Below are 19,974 nucleotides of genomic sequence, written 5' to 3'. Positions count from 1 at the left end.
CAGATAATTATTTTATTTTTTTTTGTAGAGACCAGGTCTTGCCATATTTTCCAGGCTGGTCTCAAACTCCTGGACTCAAACTATTCTCCCATGTCAGCCTCCCCAAGTGCTGGGATTACAGGTGTGAGCTACCATGCCCAGCCCTTGAGCAGTTTTTTGTTGGTTAATTGGATTGCCTCTTTTGTGAACTGTCTATTCATGTCTCTTGCCATTTTTAAATTTTTTAAATTGATTTTTCAATAAGGAAATATATATATATATATATATATATATATATATATGGCTCTCTTTTCACCCTCTTAAATGGTGATATCTTCGATCCCATTCTGTAGAAGCAGGGCATAAAATAGAGATTCTTGTTCAAGTGAGACTGTGGGAGAAGCCCTCAGGAAGAGGAGTATGAGGAAAGCTGGATTGGGGGAGGAGAGGCACAGCCTGGTGAGGGGGCAGTTGCAGTTTTCTGGAGAAAGGGACATCTGTGAGTTGTTCTCAGCTGACACCACATCTCAGTGACAGGTGTGCTAACCAGTAAAGATGATCTGGATGGAACCAGTAGTATTCTCCACAGTCCACTTCTTGTACCATACAGATAGGCTTGCTTCTTATATTAAGTTCACTGTATCCAGGTACAGCTTCTCCAGGATTCTGGTTAGTCACAAATCCTGGGAAAACTTATAAGAGGAAGATTAGTGAGACAAATTACAACCCTTGCTGCTGCAGTTGGTCCAGAAATCTAACAAATACCCATATCATCCTCTTCCACCATCCATTTTAGTTTCCCCTTCTTTGTCCCTTGAATGTATGATAGAACTTGGTGATGAAGCCACCTGGGCTCGCAGGTGTGTTTTCTTTGCAATCTTATTTTTGACCACAGACTCAATGTCTTTAATGGTTCTAGGGTGATTTTGTTTTTATAATTTCTTAACTAAGTAATATTTTCCTAGGAGTTTATCCCTTCATATTTACTTATATAAAGTTGTTTATAATTTTTTTTTTTTTTTTTGAGACGGAGTCTTGCCCTGTCGCCAGGCTGGACTGCAGTGGCGCAATCTCAGCTCACTGCAACCTCCGCCTTCCGGTTTCAAGCGATTCTCCTGCCTCAGCCTCCTGAGTAGCTGGGACTACAGGCACGTGCCACCACGCCCAGCTAATTTTTTGTATTTTTAGTAGAGACGGAGTTTCACCACGTTGGTCTGGATGGTCTCCATCTCTTGACCTCGTGATTCACCTGCCTCAGCCTCCCAAAGTGCTGGGATTACAGGCGTGAGCCACCGCACCTGGCCGTTTATAATATTTTCTTATCATTTGGTGTACAGCATCTATAGAGATATCCCCTCTTTCATTCTGATTTCATTTTAATGCTTTTTTTTCCTTCTTCTTTGGTTTTAGTAGAGGTTCTTTTCAGAGAACCTGCTCTTATCATCAGTGATAGTCTTCATAATAAATTTGTTTTCTGTTTCATAAGTTCTGCTCTGTTCTTTATTTTTCTCTTCTATTTTCCTTGGATTTATTTTGTTCTTTTTCTGACTTCTTGAAATTGATGTTTAGTTTCATTAATTTTTATCTTTTTGATTCTCTCTATTTAAGGTTATACATTTTTTTCCAAATTCTGTTTCAGCAGGAGTTCACAAGTTTTGATATGTGGTATCTCTGTTGTTTATTTCTTTTCTTTTTTTTTTCCGAGACAGACTTTCACTCTTGTTGCCCAGGCTGGAGTGCAATGGCACAATCTCGGCTCACTGCAACCTCCACCTCCCGGGTTCAAGGGATTATCCTGCCTCCTCAGCCTCCCAAGTAGCTGGGATTGCATGCATGCGCCACCATGCCCAGCTAATGTTTTTGTATTTTAGTAGAGACAGGGTTTTACCATGTTGCTCAGGCGGGTCTCGAACTCCTTACCTCAGGTGTTCCACCTGCCTTGGCCTCCCAAAATGCTGGGATACAGGCATGAGCCACTGCGCCCAGCCTTCTTTGTTGTTTATTTCTAAAAATATTCTAATTTCCATTGTAATTCTTTTTCTTTAACCAATAGATATTATATTCGAGAAATGTGTTTTGTAATATCCAAACATACTAACATTTTCTAATTATCCTTTATTTATGACTAATTATGACTGTGGTCAGTGAGCTTGTTCTGTTTTTGGTTGGTTGGTTTGTTTGTTTTTGAGACAGTCTCACTGTCTCCCACATTGGAGTACAGTGGTGTGATCATAGCTAACTGCAGCCTTGAACTCCTGGCTCAAGCAATCCTCCTGCTTCAGTCTCCCCAGGTAGCTGGAAGGACTACAGGTGTGAGCCACTGTGCTCGAAGCTGTATAATTTTAATCCTTTGAAATTTCTTGATACTTCTGTTAGAGCTCTGTTTATGGTCAGTTTTTATAAATGTTCCATGTGTGTTTGAAAGTAAAATGTATTCTACAGTTATTGGATTCAATGTCCAATGAAATGCCATTAGATCAAGTTTGTTAATGGTGTTCAAATCTTCTTTATCCTTACTGGGTGTTTTTTTTTTTCCTATGAATTATAGAGGGATGTGTTTAAATATCCAAGTATAATTATGAATTTGTCTACTTCATCTTTTAATTTTTTTTTTTTTTTTTGCTTTATATCTGTAAGGCCGTATTATCAGGTGCATATACAAATATAAAGTTGTTTTATCTTCTTAATTCTTAATTCTTAATTCACTTTTTATCATTATGAAGCTGCCTTTTTTGTTTCTAATAATTTTTTTTTTTGCCTTATACTTTACCTGATAGTGTAATCTTTTTAAAAATCTACACAAGGTATTTTTTTTCCATTAGTTGCATCTTTTCTGTAACTGTGTTTTAGGTAAGTCTCTTATGAATAGCATATAATTGGGTTTTGGTTTTTTAAACCCTGGGAAAACTTATAAGGAAGTTTTAAAGTCAGGGAAAACCCTGACTTTCTCTGTCTTTTAATTAGAACATTTAGTCCATTTTCATTAATAGCACCACTGATGTATTTTTGTTTAGGTCTGCCTTATTTTATGCTCTCAATCTGTTTGTCCTGACAGTTCTCCATTTCATTACAGCTGTCTTCCCTTCTTTGGAGCTATTTTTCATCATTCACCTTTTTTTTCTACTAATGTGGATGTTATACACTTTTTCTTAATGGTTATGCTTGAAATTTCAATTTGACCAAAGTTGATAGATTTCCGTTATAAGTGGTGAATATCCTTGCTCTTTTGGACAGACAGTACAGCGACCTTAGACCACATGAACTCCGACCTTAGACCACATGAACTCTGACCTTAGACCACATGAACTCCGACCTTAGACCACGTGAACTCCGACCTTAGACCACATGAACTCCGTTTATCCTTTTTCCACCTTAGGGTAGAGGAGATGTAAATACAATGTATCAACTTTGATTGGAGTCTTACTAGCCTACAGAGAGAAAAAGGAAGAGAGTAAATAATTTACCTGAGAAAACAAAGTAAATTGGTTTCTTGAAAACAAAGTAAATTGGGTGGGTGGGGATGTGTGCCAGTGGCTCACACCTGTAATCCCAGCACTTTAGGAGGCTGAGGTGGGCGGTTTGCCTGAGGTCAGGAGTTCGAGACCAGCCTGGCCAGCACGGTGAAACCCCATCTCTACTAAAAATACAAAAATTAGTCAGGCGTGGTGGCAGGCGGCTGTAATCCCAGCTACCCGAGAAGCTGAGGCAGGAGAATCACTTGAATCCAGGAGGTGGCAGTTGCAGTGAGCCAAGATCGCGCCATTGTACTCCAGTTTGGGCAACAGAGCAAGACTCCATCTCAAAAATAATAATAATAATAATTTACTTGAGAAAACTGTCAGGATTTGTTTGCTTGTAGGTGATCAGCTTAAAGTATCTGAACTTGAAAAAGAACATCAGTTGGCTTTAAAAAGAAAATGTTACTGTGTCCCTGGCCCTTTGATCTCTTGCAGTCTCTCACCTTAATTGTCTGAGTTTGGCTTCATTCCTCATATGGACTCTTTTGAGTTGCCCCATTCCTTGCAAGAGGATGGGGGATTCTTACTGTCTTCTTTGGGTCAAGTATCCATCCTGTGAGGTAGAGGACTGCAACACTCTCAGTGGCAGCCCCAGCAGGACTAAATAGAGTAGAAGCGGGGTTCCCCTGAGGACGCAGAAGAGGGAAGGTGCTGGGCAGACATAGCTAAGGTCAGGTGCAGTGGCTCATGCCTGGAATCCCAGCACTTTGGGAGGCCGAGGCGGACAGATCACCTGAGGTCAGGAGTTCAAGACCAGCCTGGCCAACATGGTGAAACCCCATCTCTACTAAAAATGCAAAAATTAGCCAGGCATGGTGCCTCCTAGTTCCTTTCTTGGAGTACTGGGGTTCCTAACTTGTGAAGTGATGATATAGGAACTTCTAGCCCCACCATCACATATATATAAACTCACAGATCATGAAATAAGAATGAATTTGATCCTGCAATTGTTATGCACTAAAATATTACCACACAATAAATGTTTACTCATAGGAATTGAGGATAAGCATACTACGTTTTGGTTGTTATAAGTGCTCATTAAGACGATATGTAAGGCTGGGCATGGTGGCTCACGCCTATAATCCCAGCACTTTGGGAGGCTGAGGCAGGAGGATCGCTTGAGCCCAGGACTTTGAGACTAGCCTGGGCAACATAGTGAGACCTCATCTCTAAAAAAAAAAAAAAAAATTTAGCTGGGTGTGGTAGCGTGTGCCCATAGTCCCAGCTACTCAGGAGGCTGAGGCTGGAAGATCACTTGAGCCCAGGAGATTGAGGCTGTAGTGAGCCAAGATCACATCACTGCACTCCAATCTGGGTGACAAAGCAAGACCTTGTCTCAAAAAAAAAAAAGAAAAAAAGAAAAAAAAAAGACATGTAAAAAGCACCTGGCATTTAGTAAGCCCTCAAAACACCCTTGCCTGCCCCTTCAAGGACATGCAATAAATTTATGTGAGAATCAGTACTAAAACCTGGATCTGGGGACCCCCCTGCAACTCCCCTTCTGTCTCCTAAGTAAACCAAAATGAACAGGCAGTGCATTGAAAGGAGAGAGGGTCCTTATGGCTCCAAGCCCACTCAGAAAGCACCATCAGAACACAGCTTTCTGGTTTATGTCATCAAATTTCAAAGCTGAAAATAAGAAACAGATGGTTATTTCTCACGCTGAAGAGAGCTACGGTTTGAAGAAATGATGAAAAGCCCAGCTGAAGTTTTTCTCATCTTCAAATTTAAGTTTTGTCTCATTTCCGATGGTGTGTGTAGGTGTGTGTACAGGGCTCTTTGGGGTTATAATATTTTACTATTACTTTAGAACAGTTTACTCCACAAAGCTAGGGACATTTACTTTGATTTGAAGAAAGATTTTAAATCATTAATCCATTACAGTTGCTCAGTTAATACAGTTTGTAGTTATTTACGCTGTGCCTGTGAGGCTTGTGTGCCTCATAATGTTGGAAGAGAAATTTTTTCTTTTCCTGTCAATACTAAATAGGGTTCTGAGCAGCCCTTGATTTTTTTTTCCACTTTTTTTTTTTTTTTTTCCGAGACAGAGTCTCACTTTGTTGTCCAAGCTGCAGTGCAGTGGTGTGATCTCAGCTCACTGCAACCTCCACCTCCCAGGTTCAAGCGATTCTCTGCCTCAGCCTCCCAAGTAGCTGGGATTACAGGTGCCCACCACTATGCCTGGCTAATCTTACTTTTTTATTAGAAACTAAATTCCAACACTTTGATACTAGTATGGCCCTCTGTAGGTAGAAAGTGTGTTTCCCTTGTTATACAAATGTGAAACAAGAGTTAAGTCACCTGCCGTCATGATTAGTCTGCAAGGGAGAGGCAGAGCCCAAACTAGAGTGTGAATGAAGCCTGTTGGGTCCCTTTTGTCAGAGTCATTTCAGCACGCATAGGGCCTTTTGTGCTGGGACTCATGGCAGCTCCCCATGGTCCCCCAAATTAACTAGAAACTGTTTACCTTTGGCTAAGGGTGTTCCATGTGAACTAATACAGGTGGCCTTTCTCACTGATCCCTTCAGACTCCTGGAGCTGCAGCCAGACTGAACCTCCCAACATGTCCTAAGCCCAGCTGAAGGTTTTCTACCTCAGGAGCTTTTGCTGATGCTGTTTCCTCTGCTATAGCCCCCTTTCTTCCTCCTCTGAATGTCCCAGTCCTATGCAAATTTCAGAGTCCAGTTCAGATACCAGCTCCTCCATGAAGCTTGGCTTAGTGGTTAAAAACAAGAGTCTCTGGGGACGGGCTGGGCTTCAGTGGTTCTGCACCTCTCTAACGAGTGATTGGGGCAAGCCATTTGTCACATAAGTTTAGTTTCTTGAACTGAAAAATGAAGACAGTATTAATTTCAGTCATTGCTTCTCAAATTTAGGGTGCACATCAGTTCCCTGGTGATGTTGTTAAAATGCCAAATCTGATCCAGGAGGTACACGGTGGTGCCCAATGTCTGCCACTTCTAACAAGCTCCTAGGTCCTGGGAGCACATTTTGAGTTGTAAGGCTTGAAGAGATCTTCAGGGAATAGGATGAAATAATGCATGAAAAGCACTTAATATTGTGCCCCTCAAATAGCAGTACTGAGTAAAAGCTACCTGCTGCTGTTTTTGTTGTCTTCCATTATTATTGGTTTGTTTCCCTAGCTGGAGGTCACATTTTTGTTCTTTAAACAAGGGCTTTCCCTTTTTTATGGCACTGTGTTAGTCTGTGCTCACGCTGCCATGAAGAAATATCTGAGACTAATTTATAAAGAAAAGAGGTTTAATTGACTCACAGTTCCACATGGCTGGGGAGGCCTCAGGAAACTTACAATCATGGTGAAAGGCACCTCTTCACAGGGTGGCAGGAGAGAGATGAGTGCAAGCAGGGGAAATTCCAGAGACTTATAAAAGCATCAGATCTCATGGGACTCACTATCACGAGAACAGCATGGGGGAAACCGTGCCCCATGATCCAATTACCTCTACATGGTCCCTCCCCTGACAAATGGGGATTGTGGGAATTATAATTCAAGATGATATTTTGGGCGGGGACACAGCCAAACCATATCATTCTGCCCCTGGGCCCTCCCAAATTTCATGTCTTCATATTTCAAAACACTGTCATTCCTTTCCAACAGTACCCCAAAGTCTTAACTCATTCCAGCATTAACCCAAAAGTCCAGGTCCAAAGTCTCATCTGAGACAAGGCAAGTCCCTTCTGCCTATGAGCCTGTAAAATCAAAGGCAAGCTAGTTACTTCCTAAATACAGTGGGGGTACAGACATTGGGTAAATATACCCACTCCAAATGGGAGAGATTGGCCAAAGGGGCTACAGGCCCTATGCAAGTCCAAAATCCAATAGGTTAGTTATTAAACCTTAAAGTTCCAAAATGATCTCCTTTGACTGCATGTCTCATATCCAGGTTATGCTGATGCAAAAGGTGGGCTCCCAGCCTTGGGCAGCTCCACCCCTGTGGCTTTGCAGGATACAACCCACCTCCTGGCTGCTTTCACAGGCTGGTGTTGAGTGTCTGCAGCTTTTCCAGGCACATGATGCAAGCTCTCAGTGGATCTGCCATTGTGGGGTCTGGAGGATGGTGACCTTCTTCTCACAGCTCCACTGGGCAGTGCCCCCGTGGAGACTCTGTGTGGGGGCCCCGACCCCACATTTCCCTTCTATACTGCCCAAGCAGGTGTTCTCCATGAGGGCTCCACCCCTGCAGCAAACTTCTTCCTGGACATCCAGCTGTTTCCATACATGCTCTAAAATCTAAGTAGAGGTTTCTATACCTCAGTTCTTGACTTCTGTGCACCCACAGGCTCAACACTATGTGGAAGCCACCAGTGAGTAGGGCTTGCACCCTCTGAAGCAATGGCCCAAGCTGTACCTTGGCCCCTTTTAGCCACTGCTGCAGCTGAAGCAGCTGGGATGCAGGGTACCATGTCCCAAGGCTGCACAGAGCAGAGGGTCCCTGTGCCTGGCCCAGGCCCATGGAACCATTTTTCCCTCCTAGGCCTTGGGCCTGTGATGGGAGGGGCTGCCTTGAAGTTCTCTGACATGCCCTGCAGACATTTTCCACATTATCTTGGTGATTAACATTCCTCATTACTTGTGCAAATTTCTGCATTGGGCTTGAATTTCTCCCCAGAAAATGGGGTTTTCTTTTCTATCACATCCAATAGGCCAGTCATTAAACCTTAAAATTCCGAAATGATCTCCTGCAAATTTTCCAAACTTTTATGCTCTGCTTCCTCTTGAATGCTTTGTCGTTTAGAAGTTTCTTCTGCCAGATACCCTGAATCATTTCTCTCAAGTTCAAAGTTCCACAGATCTCTAGGGGAGGGACAAAATGCTGTGAGTCTCTTTGCATAGCAAGAGTTACCTTTACTCCGGTTCCTAAGAAGTGGCTTATCTCCATCTGAGACCACCTCAGCCTGGACTTCATGGTCCATATCACTATCAGCATTTTGATCAAAGCCATTCAACAAGTCCCTAAGAAGCTCCAAACTTTCCCACATCTTCTTGTCTTCTGAGCCCTCTAAGTCTCTAGGAAGTTCCAGACTTTCCCACATTTTTCTGTCTTCTTCCGAGCCCTCCAAACCATTCCAGCCTCTGCCTGTTACCCAGTTCCAAAGTCGCTTCCACATTTCAGGTATCTTTACAGCAGCACCCCACTCTCTGTAGTACCAATTTACTGTATTAGTCTGTTCTCATGCTGCTGTTAAGAAATACCCACAACTAGGTAATTTATAAACAAAAGAGGTTTAATTGACTCACAGTTCTGCATGGCTGGGGAGGCCTCAGAAAACTTACAATCATGGCAGAAGGCACCTCTTCACGGGGTGGCAGGAGAGAGAATGAGTGCAAGCAGGGGAAATGCCAGATGGCTTATAAAACCATCAGATCTTGTGAGACTCACTCACTATCATGAGAACAGCATGGGGAACTGCCTTCATGATCTGATTATCTCTACTTGGTCACACCCCTGACACATGGGGATTATGGGGAGTATAATTCTAGATGAGATTTTGGGTGGGGACACAGCCAAACCATATCAGGCACTAAGCATTTTTCCCCTTGAATTGTGGGATTTCTTTGGTTTTCTTTTTGTCTTTTGGGTGTTTTTTGGTAGACATATCTTTGTTCTGCCAGACTTGAGAGCAGGGTCTTTATCTGATTCCCACTGACTCACAAGGTGCTAACCACTTGGTCTTATACACAGCAAGTGTTGAATACATACTTGGGTTCTTATTTACTTCTTTTTTTATTCCACAGGGATCTGTGTGGCAGCAGGGAATCTATTGCTAATGATTTGAGTAGTCTCAGCTATGCTAATATACCAGATAATGATGAGGGTGATTATTTATTCAGTAAATGATTGTTGAGCACCTGCTATGCGCCAGGCATAGTTCTGGGCATAGTGCAAAGCAGTGATGCAAAGTTTCTGCCCTTCAGGAGCTTACATTTTACTCAGGGGAGACAGACAATAAATGAAGGAAAACATTTAATTCCACAGGGAATTTCCTCCTAGAGGTGCCCAGGCTCTGTCACCTGGCGCTCTGGGTCCACAGGTGTGTTTCCCTTTTCCCGTGGTTCATCCCTGTGGAATAACTCAGCACTTCCTGTGTCCCCTCTGCCCCCTCACAGATCCACTCACACAAAAGAATTTGTGAGCGACCAAGACATTAGAGAGCTTACAGGGAGCCAAAGCAAGGGCTTCACTTTATACTCAACTGTTAATACCAAAGCGTTCCCCTGTTGCCACTTCCTCCCACCACACAGCTCCCAAGTGCAGATCCCTGAGGGATGTTTTTATTCCTGACCCCAGCCTGCCTGCCCATCTTGGTGCTTGGTGAACGGGCACATGGAGCCCACCCTTCCCAGAAGCAGTGGGAGTACAGACAGCAAATGAACAAAGCAGCAGCCTTCCTTCCAGTGCCTCACAGGTGCAGAGCTCTGGACAGTGCTGTGAGGGAGGTTGTTCCCACTTTCCCCTTTACAGATGTGTTTCCATGTCATGCCGTTGAGATGTTAGACTGGCCAAGGGCTTGTTCATCAGATTGCTTCTCTCTCTTAACTCCTTCACCAGTGATCTCAGTCCATGCCATGGCTTTAAATGTCATTCAGGTCTCTATTCAAATGTCACTTCCTCAGAGACCTTCCTTGACAACCCTGTCTGAAATAGCACATGCATGCACATATACCCCTTAACCTGCTTTATTTCTCTTCATAGCATTTATGTTAATATCTTTTTCGTTTATTGTCTGTCTCTGAAGGTAGGGACTTTGCCTCATTTACTGCTTTTCAGTTCTTGGAACAATGCTTGGCACATAGGCAATCAACGAATGTTTGTTGAATAAATGATTTTTTTCTCTGGAAATTGTCAAAATCTGCATGAGGTGTATCAGGCCAGCCATTGTCAGCCTCAGTTTAGAGGCAAGGAAATAGGTTCAGAAAGGTTCAAGGACGTGCTGAAGTCACAGGGCGAGGCAGCAGCAGAGAGCCTGCTTGTTGAGAGCCAAGTCTTATGGGACTTGCCTCCTTCTCTCCCACTGAGGCTGGGGACACCAGGTGGCCCAGAGGCATGTGGATACCTCCAGTGGGAGGTTAGGAGAGTGCTACACAGAAACTCTGAGTTCTAACACTCTTGGGACCATAAAAAATGGAACAAGTCTGGGCATGGTAACTCACGCCTGTAATCACAGTATTTTGAGAGGCTAAGGTGGGAGGATCACTTGTGGCCAGGAGTTCGAGGCTGCAGTGAGCTATGATCCTGCCACTGTACTCCAGCCTGGGCAACACAGAGAGACCTCACTTCTTTAAAAAAAAAAAAAAAAAAAAAGTTGATTTTGTTTTGTTTTGTTTTGTTTTTTTGAGACGGAGTCTTGCTCTTTCGCCCAGGCTAGAGTGCAGTGGCACGATCTCGGCTCACTGCAAGCCCCGCCTCCTGGGTTCACACCATTCTTCTGTCTCAGCCTCCTGAGTAGCTGGGACTACAGGTGCCCACCACCATGCCCGGCTAATTTTTTGTATTTTTAGTAGAGACGGGGTTTCACCGTGTTAGCCTGGATGGTCTCAATCTCCTGACCTCATGATCTGCCTGCCTCGGCCTCCCAAAGTGCTGGGATTACAGGCATGAGCCACCGCGCCCAGCAAAATAAAAAGTTTTTTTAATCAAAAAACGGAACCACTTGGGGCCTACTTCAGGCCATACTCCCTCCATCCCAGACAGGCTTCCATCATTGTTTTTCCAGTTCTTTACAGGCATCACACTCCAGGTGCACAGGCTCTGGGGACATTTGTTACTTTTAATTCCACATGCAGAGGCCCCAGTGGTAAAACGGAAAGGCAAAACTTGAATGCATTAAAAAAAATAAAATAAAAAGTGTTACCTTGTTCTAAGAAGTCCCTGTTGTTTCATGAATCTCCATGGATTAGTGTAAAGATATAGTAAATAAAGCCAAATGGAATGATAGGAAATGTGCATGTGTGCTCGGAGTCAAGAGGGGGCAATTGTTGGCTTCATTCTAGATACAGAGCCCTGGAGTTGGGTACACAGGCAAGTTTGGGGGAAAACAAATGCTGAAGGGTTGACAGTAACCTGCTAGGAAATCCCCCTTCCCCTGAGAGGCCAGTGACTAAACCATGTGCTTCCTACTATAGGTGGGCTTCTTGGAACCCCAAGAAACCGAAGCTCCAGTAGTTTCTACGTCAGGTGGCTTGGCCCCAAATCCCCCAGACACCCTCACATCATCCTAAGGGAAAGAAATTACAATTAATATTTGCAAAATTGTGAGTTCCTGCCCTCACTGTTCCACCTAAATACCTCTCCTGGATGGATCTCCTTAAAATATAGCTCTGATCAGGCCACTTCCCTTCTGAGGAATCTATAATAGACAGTACAAGCTTCTTAGTCTGGCATTCAGGGCCTTTCCCATCATGCAACTTGTGAAAGAGGGTCGAGCACCAGTGGCTCCAAGGGGTCAGAACTGACACCACCTGGGGAAGAGTAGTGAAGTCAATCTCAAGGTGTCCGAGGGCTTTATAATAATGCCCTTTAGAGTTTCATATGCTCTTTCAGCCTCTGCTATGGTAACAAACAATCTGCAAGTTCTTAGTGCCTTAACCCAAACAAAGGTGTATTTTTCATGCATGGTGTTTGTCCATCTTGGCTTGGTCGGGATCTCTGCTTACTCTAATCATTTAAGGATCCAGGTTCCTAGAGTAACCGTCATCTCAAATGTTGCCAGTTGCTGTGCCACAGAGAAAAGCAAGCTGTGGATGATCCTGCATAGGCAATGAAGTGCTCTAGTCGAGAAGTAACGCACATCTCTTCTACTCAAAACCCATTGGTTAGTACTAGTCTTGTGGCCCCATTTGACCTCAGGAGGGATCAGATGTACAATCTTGTCATGTGCCCAGAAGGAAAGAAAACTGGAAGCAGTTGATGAAGAGCATTGATTCCCAATGTAATGTGCTTTCAATTTTTTAATCATCACAGCAAGCCTTTGGGTGCTATCAAGGTCCCCAATTTATATATGAGGAACCTGAGGCCCAGAGAGGTTAAGTGACTTGTTCAAGGTCACCTGCAACTTGACCCCAGGTCTTTTGGCTTTGAAATGATTGGTCTTTGCATGATACAGAGACAGCTGCTTCACTGAAAGGGTTGAAGCTGAGGAAGAAGGATGCTGCATCAAAGTGTGGGTGGGGCCCTTTATCACAATCACCAGGGAGCTTGTTAAAAATGCACATAATTGGTTCCACTCCAGAGATTCTGATTCTGGAGGTCTGAGATGAAGCTAGGAATAGGCCCCAGGTGATTCTCAGGTGATGACTGAAGAGCCACGATTAAAGAATCACTGCTATGGGAGGTCCTACTAAGTCTGGCTTAAAGATTTTCTTTTTTCGGCCAGGCGCGGTGGCTCATGCCTGTAATCCCAGCACTCTGGGAGGCCGAGGCGGGCGGATCACCTGAGGTCAGGAGTTCAAAACAAACCTGACCATGGTGAAACCTCGTCTCTACTAAAAATACAAAAAATTAGCCGGGCGTGGTGGTGCGCGTCTGTAATCGCAGCTACTCGGGAGGCTGAGGCAGGAGAATCAGTTAAACCTGGGAGGTGGAGGTTGCGGTGAGCTGAGGTCACACCATTGCACTCCAGCCTGGGCAACAAGAGCGAAACTCCATCTCAAAAAAAAAAAAAAGATTTTCTTTCTTCTTGATCTCTATAAGCTGCAGTAGTGCTTAATTCCTTCTATCTCACATTGTTATTAGCTATGACAGCAAATGGTTGCTATCACCTAATGGGTGATACATTAATTATTCACCTAAAATTTGAGGTGGGGGCATGATGGGGGCTCATTTCTGATTATTCGTTTACTTAAAAACACTGTTATTAAGCCTGTACTTTGTGCTGCATATTGGATGGTATGTGGGGTTCTTGCTGTATTCTCTGTAAGTGAATTATGATAGCCTAGGGTATTCATTATTGATGAGCTACTATGGGAAATGGGGGAAACCCATCTGGGAGAGAAATTGTCAGTGCTGGATACTATGGGATGTCACATGGGGCACACAATGCATTGACTGGGTTGAACACTTATATAGTAAAGTAAACTAGGCTCGAGTTGAGAAGCAGAGATGCATTTATGAGGGTTGGTGGTTGCAATTTGGGTCTCTCTTATTCCAAGTCCCTCCTGAGACTTGGAATACCAACCATTAGCAATAGATCCCAGGAGAACCCTAATGGAAAGTCCTGCAAAAGACCATATGGAAGCCTCTCACCTGGAAGGTGGTATAGATTAGGTTCCTTTAGTGTTAGCTGATTCACTCTTGAACACCTGTCAGAGTTGCCCCTTGTAGAAGGAAAGAACATCATGGATAAAGCATCTCAGAAAGTGCGCAGTATATGGTGCTCCCTGAAAGAAGAGTATATGGTTATACTCAGAGGAGCTCAGAAATCAAGAGCAGCCTGTGGGGACGATGAGAATACAGATTCTAACAAGTACGTCAAAGCTCTTAGCAATGATTAAAAATACTCCTTTCAGATGCAGCAGTTGGTCCTGGTTAAGATGAGATCGCCCACTGGGAGGAAATGTTTGGGTAGTTGATGGTTAGCATACTTTCATATGGAAGGTTATGAAAATGGGGATAATGATGTCCTTCTGGTGGTTTTAAATTGAAGTGGCTAAATAATAAGGAAAAAAATGAAACCAGGACAGCTAGAAAAGTATTATAGATGAGCCCCTCTTTATAGGGAAATAGATAAGAAATGTAGAAAGATAAATGTAAACCATGTGGGGACATAGTATGTAAGCTGTTATGTGGGAGGGAGATTATCTGAGCTAGCTAGAAATGGACTTTGTGAACGGTCAAGGCCAGCTAGATGAAATGTAATATGTGAAGTCACTGAATTCAGAGTACCACGTATAGGTCACCAAAACTTTATGGAAAGACAGCAAAATAACATTTTAAAATTACTTCTCAAGTGAGGCAAGCCAAGAACATGGTTGGAGGAGAGGTCCTAACTGAGGCTGAACTGCATCTACCCCACTCAGGTCCTGGCAGAGCTCCTTCCTCATGAGAATGACTTTGTGAGGAGAAAAGCAACATTCAAATTAAGAAAAGAATAATCAGAGGCAGAGCCATCCAAGGCCTCCGAAGGGGTAAAGAGGTCTGGGGTAAGGCTCAGAAGGGATGTAGAGTGCAAGGATATGAAGTTGTGAGGGAAAGAGTGAGTTACGTGAGAGTTCAATATAAAAGGGTTCATTTGAGCTGCCAGAGGTACTACTGTCTTGTGATGATGGTCGGGTCAATTGTAAGTAATCATAAATCATCACTTATTGGCATCATTGCCTGAAAGAACCCATAGCCTGGGAAAAATCAGAATCCTACTCTCATAGTGCATGGACACGTAGACCCAGTATTGGAATAATGTAGGCACCCTGTAGCTAAGAATGCTCTCCTTGTCTTTTCTGTTGCCCTGAATAGTTGTAATAGAGAAAGGAGTCAACACCAGGTATTGAGTCTTCAGAGAGAAAAGTACCCAGTCCCTATCGTAAACAATCCAGTGGAGGATGCAAAAGGCTTAGAAACAATGACCAAGCCAGTAGAAAAAGCATGTCTAATATCCAGATTGTGGTTTTGACATATTCCATTAAAGAATACAGAACAGGCTGGATGCGGTGGCTCACGCCTGTAATCCCAGCACTTTGGGAGGACAAGACGGACAGATCACCTGATGTCAGGAGTTCAAAACCAGCCTGGCCAACATGGTGAAACCCCCATATCTACTAAAAATACAAAAATTAGCCGGGCGTGGCGGCACACACCTGTAATCCCAGCTACTTGGGAGGCTGAGGTAGGAGAATGGCTTGAACTCAGGAGGCAGAAGTTGCAGTGAGCCGAGATTGTGCCACTGCACTCCAGACTGGGCAAAAGAGAGAGACTCTGTCTCAAAAAAAAAAAAAAAAAAAAAAAAAAAATCCAGAACAAAAATATCCTCAACTGATTTATCATTTTTTGACAAAAGTACAAAAGCAGTTCAATGGAGAAAGGATAACCTTTTTAACAAATGGTCCTGGGACAGTTGGATAACCATAGGCTAAAAAGAAAAACTTCAACTTACACTTCAATAAGAAATTAACTCAAGATGGACCATAGGCTTAAGTATACAGTGTAAACTATAAAACTTTTAGAAAAAAACACAGGAAAAAATCTTTAGGATCTAGAGCTAGGTAAAAAGTTCTTAAACTTGATACCAAAAGCATAATGCATAAAAGGAAAAAAAGTGTCAAAAATGTGGTGATACTGTGGTGCTGGCATAAGGATTGACAAGTAGATCAATGAAACAAATAGTCCAGAAATAATCCCACACTACCATTGTTTGTTTTTTTTGAAAAAGGCACCAAAGCAACCCAATAAGGAAAGGAGACTGTTTTCAACAAATGGTGCTAGAATAACTTGATATCCACATAGAAAAAGAATGAACCTCAACCACTACCTCATACCATAACAAAAATTAATTCATGATGGATCATAGAACAGTATGTAAAAGTCAAAACCACAAAGCTTTTAGACAAGAGATTATATCCATGACTTAGGAATTAACAAAGCTTTCTCAGACAGATAGAAGAAAATAATCATAAAAAGAAAGAAATGGTAAGTTAGACTTCATCAAAATTAAAAACTTCTCATCAAAAGATTCCATTAAGACAATGAAAAGGCAAACCACAGATTGGGAGAAAATATTCAAAGAACATGTATCTGGCAAAGGACATATAAAGAAGTCCTATAATTAAATATATATTAAAAAAAACAATTAAAAACAGACAAAAGGACCAGGCGCAGTGGCTCACGCCTGTAATCCCAGTGCTTTGGGAGGCCAAGGTGGGTGGATCACCTGTGGTCAGGAGTTTGAGACCAGCCTGGCCAACATGATGAAATCCCATCTCTACTAAAAATACAAAAATTAGCTGGGCATGGTGGCGAGCGCCTGTAATCCCAGCTACTCGGGAGGCTGAGGCAGGAGAATCGCTTGAACCTGGGAGGTGGAGGTTGGAGGTTGCGGTGAGCCGAGATTGCACCACTGGGCTTCAGCCAGGATGACAAGAGCAAAACTCCGTCTGAAAAAAAAAAGACAAAAGATTTGAACAAGTACTTCAAAAAGGAGATATATGAATGGCCAATGATCACATGCAAAAAATCTCAACATCGTGTATTATGAAGAAAATGCAAATTAAAACCAAAATGATATACCATTACATACCCACCAGAATGATAAAATTTTAAAAACCAGCAACAGCCTGGGCATGGTGGTTTACTCCTATAGTCCCAGCACTTTGGGAGGCCGAGGCAGCAGGATCACTTGAGCCTGGGAATTCGAGGTTGCAATGAACTGTGATCACACCACAGCACTCCAGCCTGGGTGACAAAGTGTGACCCTGCAAAAAACAAACAAAAACACCACAACAAATGTGGAGCAACTGTGTTTCTTATTCTTTCTTGGTAGGCGTGTAAAATAGTATAGCCTCTCTGGGAAAAGAACCTAGGAATTCCACTCCTAAGTATTGACTCAAGAAAAATTAAAACGTGTCCACAAAAACACTTATATAAGAATATTCACAGCAGCATTATCCATAATAGCCCCAAACTGAAAGTAATTCAGGTTTCCATCGAGGAGAATTAATTTTTTTTAAACTGTGATATATTAACACTTAATACAATGAAATACTACTGAGCAGTTAAAAAGTAAACTACATGCAATGAAATGAATGAATCTCAAAATATTATGCTGAATGAAAGAAGCCTTACACAGAAGAATACATACTGCATGATCCCATTTATATGCAATTCTAGAACAGACAAAACTAATCTGTAGTAGAAAATCATGATAGTAGGAATTTGAGGAGATAAGAGAAAAGAAAACAGTGGTTGCCTCTTGGGGTCGGGGGTGGAACTTGATGGAAGAGTCATGAGAGAACTTTCTGGAGTATTCCATTTCTTGGTAGGGGGTTGTATTGCACATATGAATGCATCTGTCAATTCTGCAAATACACACTACTGGATATGGTACATCCATAGCACGAAATAGTCCTCAGCATCATAAACAAACTATTGATGCACACCACAAGTAGGATGAGCCTCCATCGAATTACACTGAATGAAAAAAAGCCAGTCTCAATAGGTGACACACTGTATAATTCCACTTATATAACATTTTTGACATGATACAGTTTTAGAACTGGAGGACAGATTAATGGTTGCCAGTGGTTAGGGACAGGAGAGAGGAGGGAGAATTGAGACGTGTATAGTTACAAAAGGGCAACACAAGGGATCCATATGGTGTTGGAACTGTTCACCGTCTTTACTGGTCATAGATACACAAAGTTACACAGGTGATAAAATTGTATAGAACTTAATACACATACACAAGTGAGTACAAGTAAAACTGGAGAAATCTAAATTAGACCTTGGACTATATCAATGTCACCATGCTAGTGGGATATTATACTATAGTTTTGCAAAATGTTACCATTGGGGTAAACCAAGCAAAGGATCTCTATTCTTTCTTTCTTTCTTTTTTTTTTTTTTTTTTTTTTTGAGGCAGACTTTCGCTCTTTTTGCCCGGGCTGGAGTGCAATGCCATGATCTCGGCTCACCGCAACCTCTGCCTCCCAGGTTCAAGCGATTCTCCTGCCTCAGCCTCCCTAAGTAGCTGGGATTACAGGCATGTGCCACCACGCCTGGCTAATTTTTTTTTTTTTTGTATTTTTAGTAGAGACGGGGTTTCTCCATGTTGGTCAGGCTGGTCTCGAACTCCCGACCTCTGGTGATCTGCCCGCCTCGGCCTCCCAAAGTGCTGGGATTCCAGGCATGAGCCACCGTGCCTGGCCAGGATCTCTATTATTTCTTATAACTGCATGTGAATCTACAATTTTCTCAATGAACATTTTTTAAAGACAACTTCTTAAAGAAAGAAGCTGTTATGCTATCTAGCCATACCACATAGCAAGGAAGCTATCAGAGGGTACAGGGGTTGTGCCAGGAGGACTGAGGAACCAATGTGGGGCCAAAGATAGCTTAATTTGAACTTTAATAAAAGTAGGGATTTCAAAGACTTGAAACCCATAAAATACGTGTCAGTCCATGACTTCATAACAATTTAAAAACATACATGTGGCCGGGCGCGGTGGCTCACGCCTGTAATCCCAGCACTTTGGGAGGCTGAGGCAGGTGGATCATGAGGTCAAGAGATCGAGACCATCTGGCCAACATGGTGAAACCCTGTCTCTACTAAAAATACAAAAATTAGCTGGGCATGGTGGCGCGTGCCTGTAGTCCCAGCTACTCGGGAGGCTGAGGCAGGAGAATTGCTTGAAGCCAGGAGGCAGAGGTTGCAGTGAGCTGAGATTGCACCACTACACTCCAGCCTGGTGACAGAGCGAGACTCCATCTCAAAAAAAATACACACACACACACACACACACACACACACACACACACAACCTGAATTGGTCACTGCTGTGGTCTGAATATGTCCCCCCCAAAATGTATGTATTGGAAACCTAATCCCCAATGCAACAGTGTTGGGAGGTAAAAGGTCATAAGGGCTCTTCCTTATGAATGGAAGGGTTTGTGGGGATGCATTTGCCATCCTTCTGCAGTGTGCAGACACATATTTTCATCCCTCTTGCTTTTCTACCTTCCACCATCTAAGAACAGAGCAAGGACGTCCTCACCAGGTGCCAGCACCTTGATCTTGGACTTCCCAGGCTCCAGAACTGTGAAAAATAAATGTCTGTTCTTTTTTTTTTTTTTTTTTTTTGATATGGAGTCTCGCTCTGTCACACAGACTGGAGTGCAGTGGCGCAATCTCGGCTCACTGCCAGCTCTGCCTCCTGGGTTCCTGCCGGTCTCTTGCCTCAGCCTCCCGAGTAGCTGGGACTACAGGCGCCCACCACCATGCCCGGCTAATTTTTGTGCGTGTGTGTGTTTTCAGTAGAGACGGGGTTTCACCGTGTCAGCCAGGATGGTCTCGATCTCCTGACCTCGTGATCCTCCTGCCTCGGCCTCCCAAAGTGCTGGGATTACAAGCGTGAGCCACCTCGCCCAGCCATAAGTGTCTGTTCTTTACAGATTAGTCAGATTCAAGAATTCCGACATGGTTGCACTAAACAGACTAAGACATAAATTGGTACTGGAGGAGTGGGGTGTTGCTATAACAAATACCTAAAAATGTAGAAGCAACTTGGAAACGGATAATGCATAGAGGCTGGAACAGTTTTGAAGCAAATGCTGGAAAATCCTTCATTGACATGAATGCCACATTAAGGGTGGTTCTGGCCAGGGCCTGGGGAAAGAAGGGATATAGGAGAAGCCTTGTTCTTCTTACAGATTGCTTGAGTAGTTGCAACAGTGAAGGCTAGTCTGATGAGGTCTCAGACAGAAATGAGGAACAAGGTATTGGAAATTGGAAGAAAGGTTATCTTTCTTAT

General features: G+C 43.1%; 1 protein-coding gene across 6 annotated transcripts in view, besides 6 other annotated features; it reads left to right on the top strand.

Moving 5' to 3' along the window:
• FBXO10 (F-box protein 10) overlaps positions 1 to 19,974 on the top strand; it is a 65,489-nt gene that overhangs the window by 4,385 nt on the left and 41,130 nt on the right. The gene's annotated exons all lie outside the window — the stretch shown is intronic.
• Positions 3,298 to 3,498: a silencer, noted in NCBI's record as "peak7234 fragment used in MPRA reporter construct". NCBI's record gives its function as "represses an SCP1 promoter by STARR-seq MPRAs in K562 erythroleukemia cells {active_cell/tissue: K562}" and the evidence as "EXISTENCE:reporter gene assay evidence [ECO:0000049][PMID:32103011]".
• Positions 3,916 to 4,045: an enhancer, noted in NCBI's record as "active region_28400". NCBI's record gives its function as "activates an Ori minimal core promoter by ATAC-STARR-seq in GM12878 lymphoblastoid cells {active_cell/tissue: GM12878}" and the evidence as "EXISTENCE:reporter gene assay evidence [ECO:0000049][PMID:35858748]".
• Positions 5,054 to 5,103: a silencer, noted in NCBI's record as "silent region_19908". NCBI's record gives its function as "represses an Ori minimal core promoter by ATAC-STARR-seq in GM12878 lymphoblastoid cells {active_cell/tissue: GM12878}" and the evidence as "EXISTENCE:reporter gene assay evidence [ECO:0000049][PMID:35858748]".
• Positions 5,838 to 6,027: an enhancer, noted in NCBI's record as "active region_28399". NCBI's record gives its function as "activates an Ori minimal core promoter by ATAC-STARR-seq in GM12878 lymphoblastoid cells {active_cell/tissue: GM12878}" and the evidence as "EXISTENCE:reporter gene assay evidence [ECO:0000049][PMID:35858748]".
• Positions 6,458 to 6,607: an enhancer, noted in NCBI's record as "active region_28398". NCBI's record gives its function as "activates an Ori minimal core promoter by ATAC-STARR-seq in GM12878 lymphoblastoid cells {active_cell/tissue: GM12878}" and the evidence as "EXISTENCE:reporter gene assay evidence [ECO:0000049][PMID:35858748]".
• Positions 10,171 to 10,220: an enhancer, noted in NCBI's record as "active region_28397". NCBI's record gives its function as "activates an Ori minimal core promoter by ATAC-STARR-seq in GM12878 lymphoblastoid cells {active_cell/tissue: GM12878}" and the evidence as "EXISTENCE:reporter gene assay evidence [ECO:0000049][PMID:35858748]".

Source organism: Homo sapiens, chromosome 9 (assembly GCF_000001405.40).
Source record: "Homo sapiens chromosome 9, GRCh38.p14 Primary Assembly".
NCBI classification, from domain to species: Eukaryota; Metazoa; Chordata; class Mammalia; order Primates; family Hominidae; genus Homo; species Homo sapiens.
Note: the sequence above shows the minus strand (reverse complement) of the source record. Positions and strands in the feature narration are given on the sequence as shown.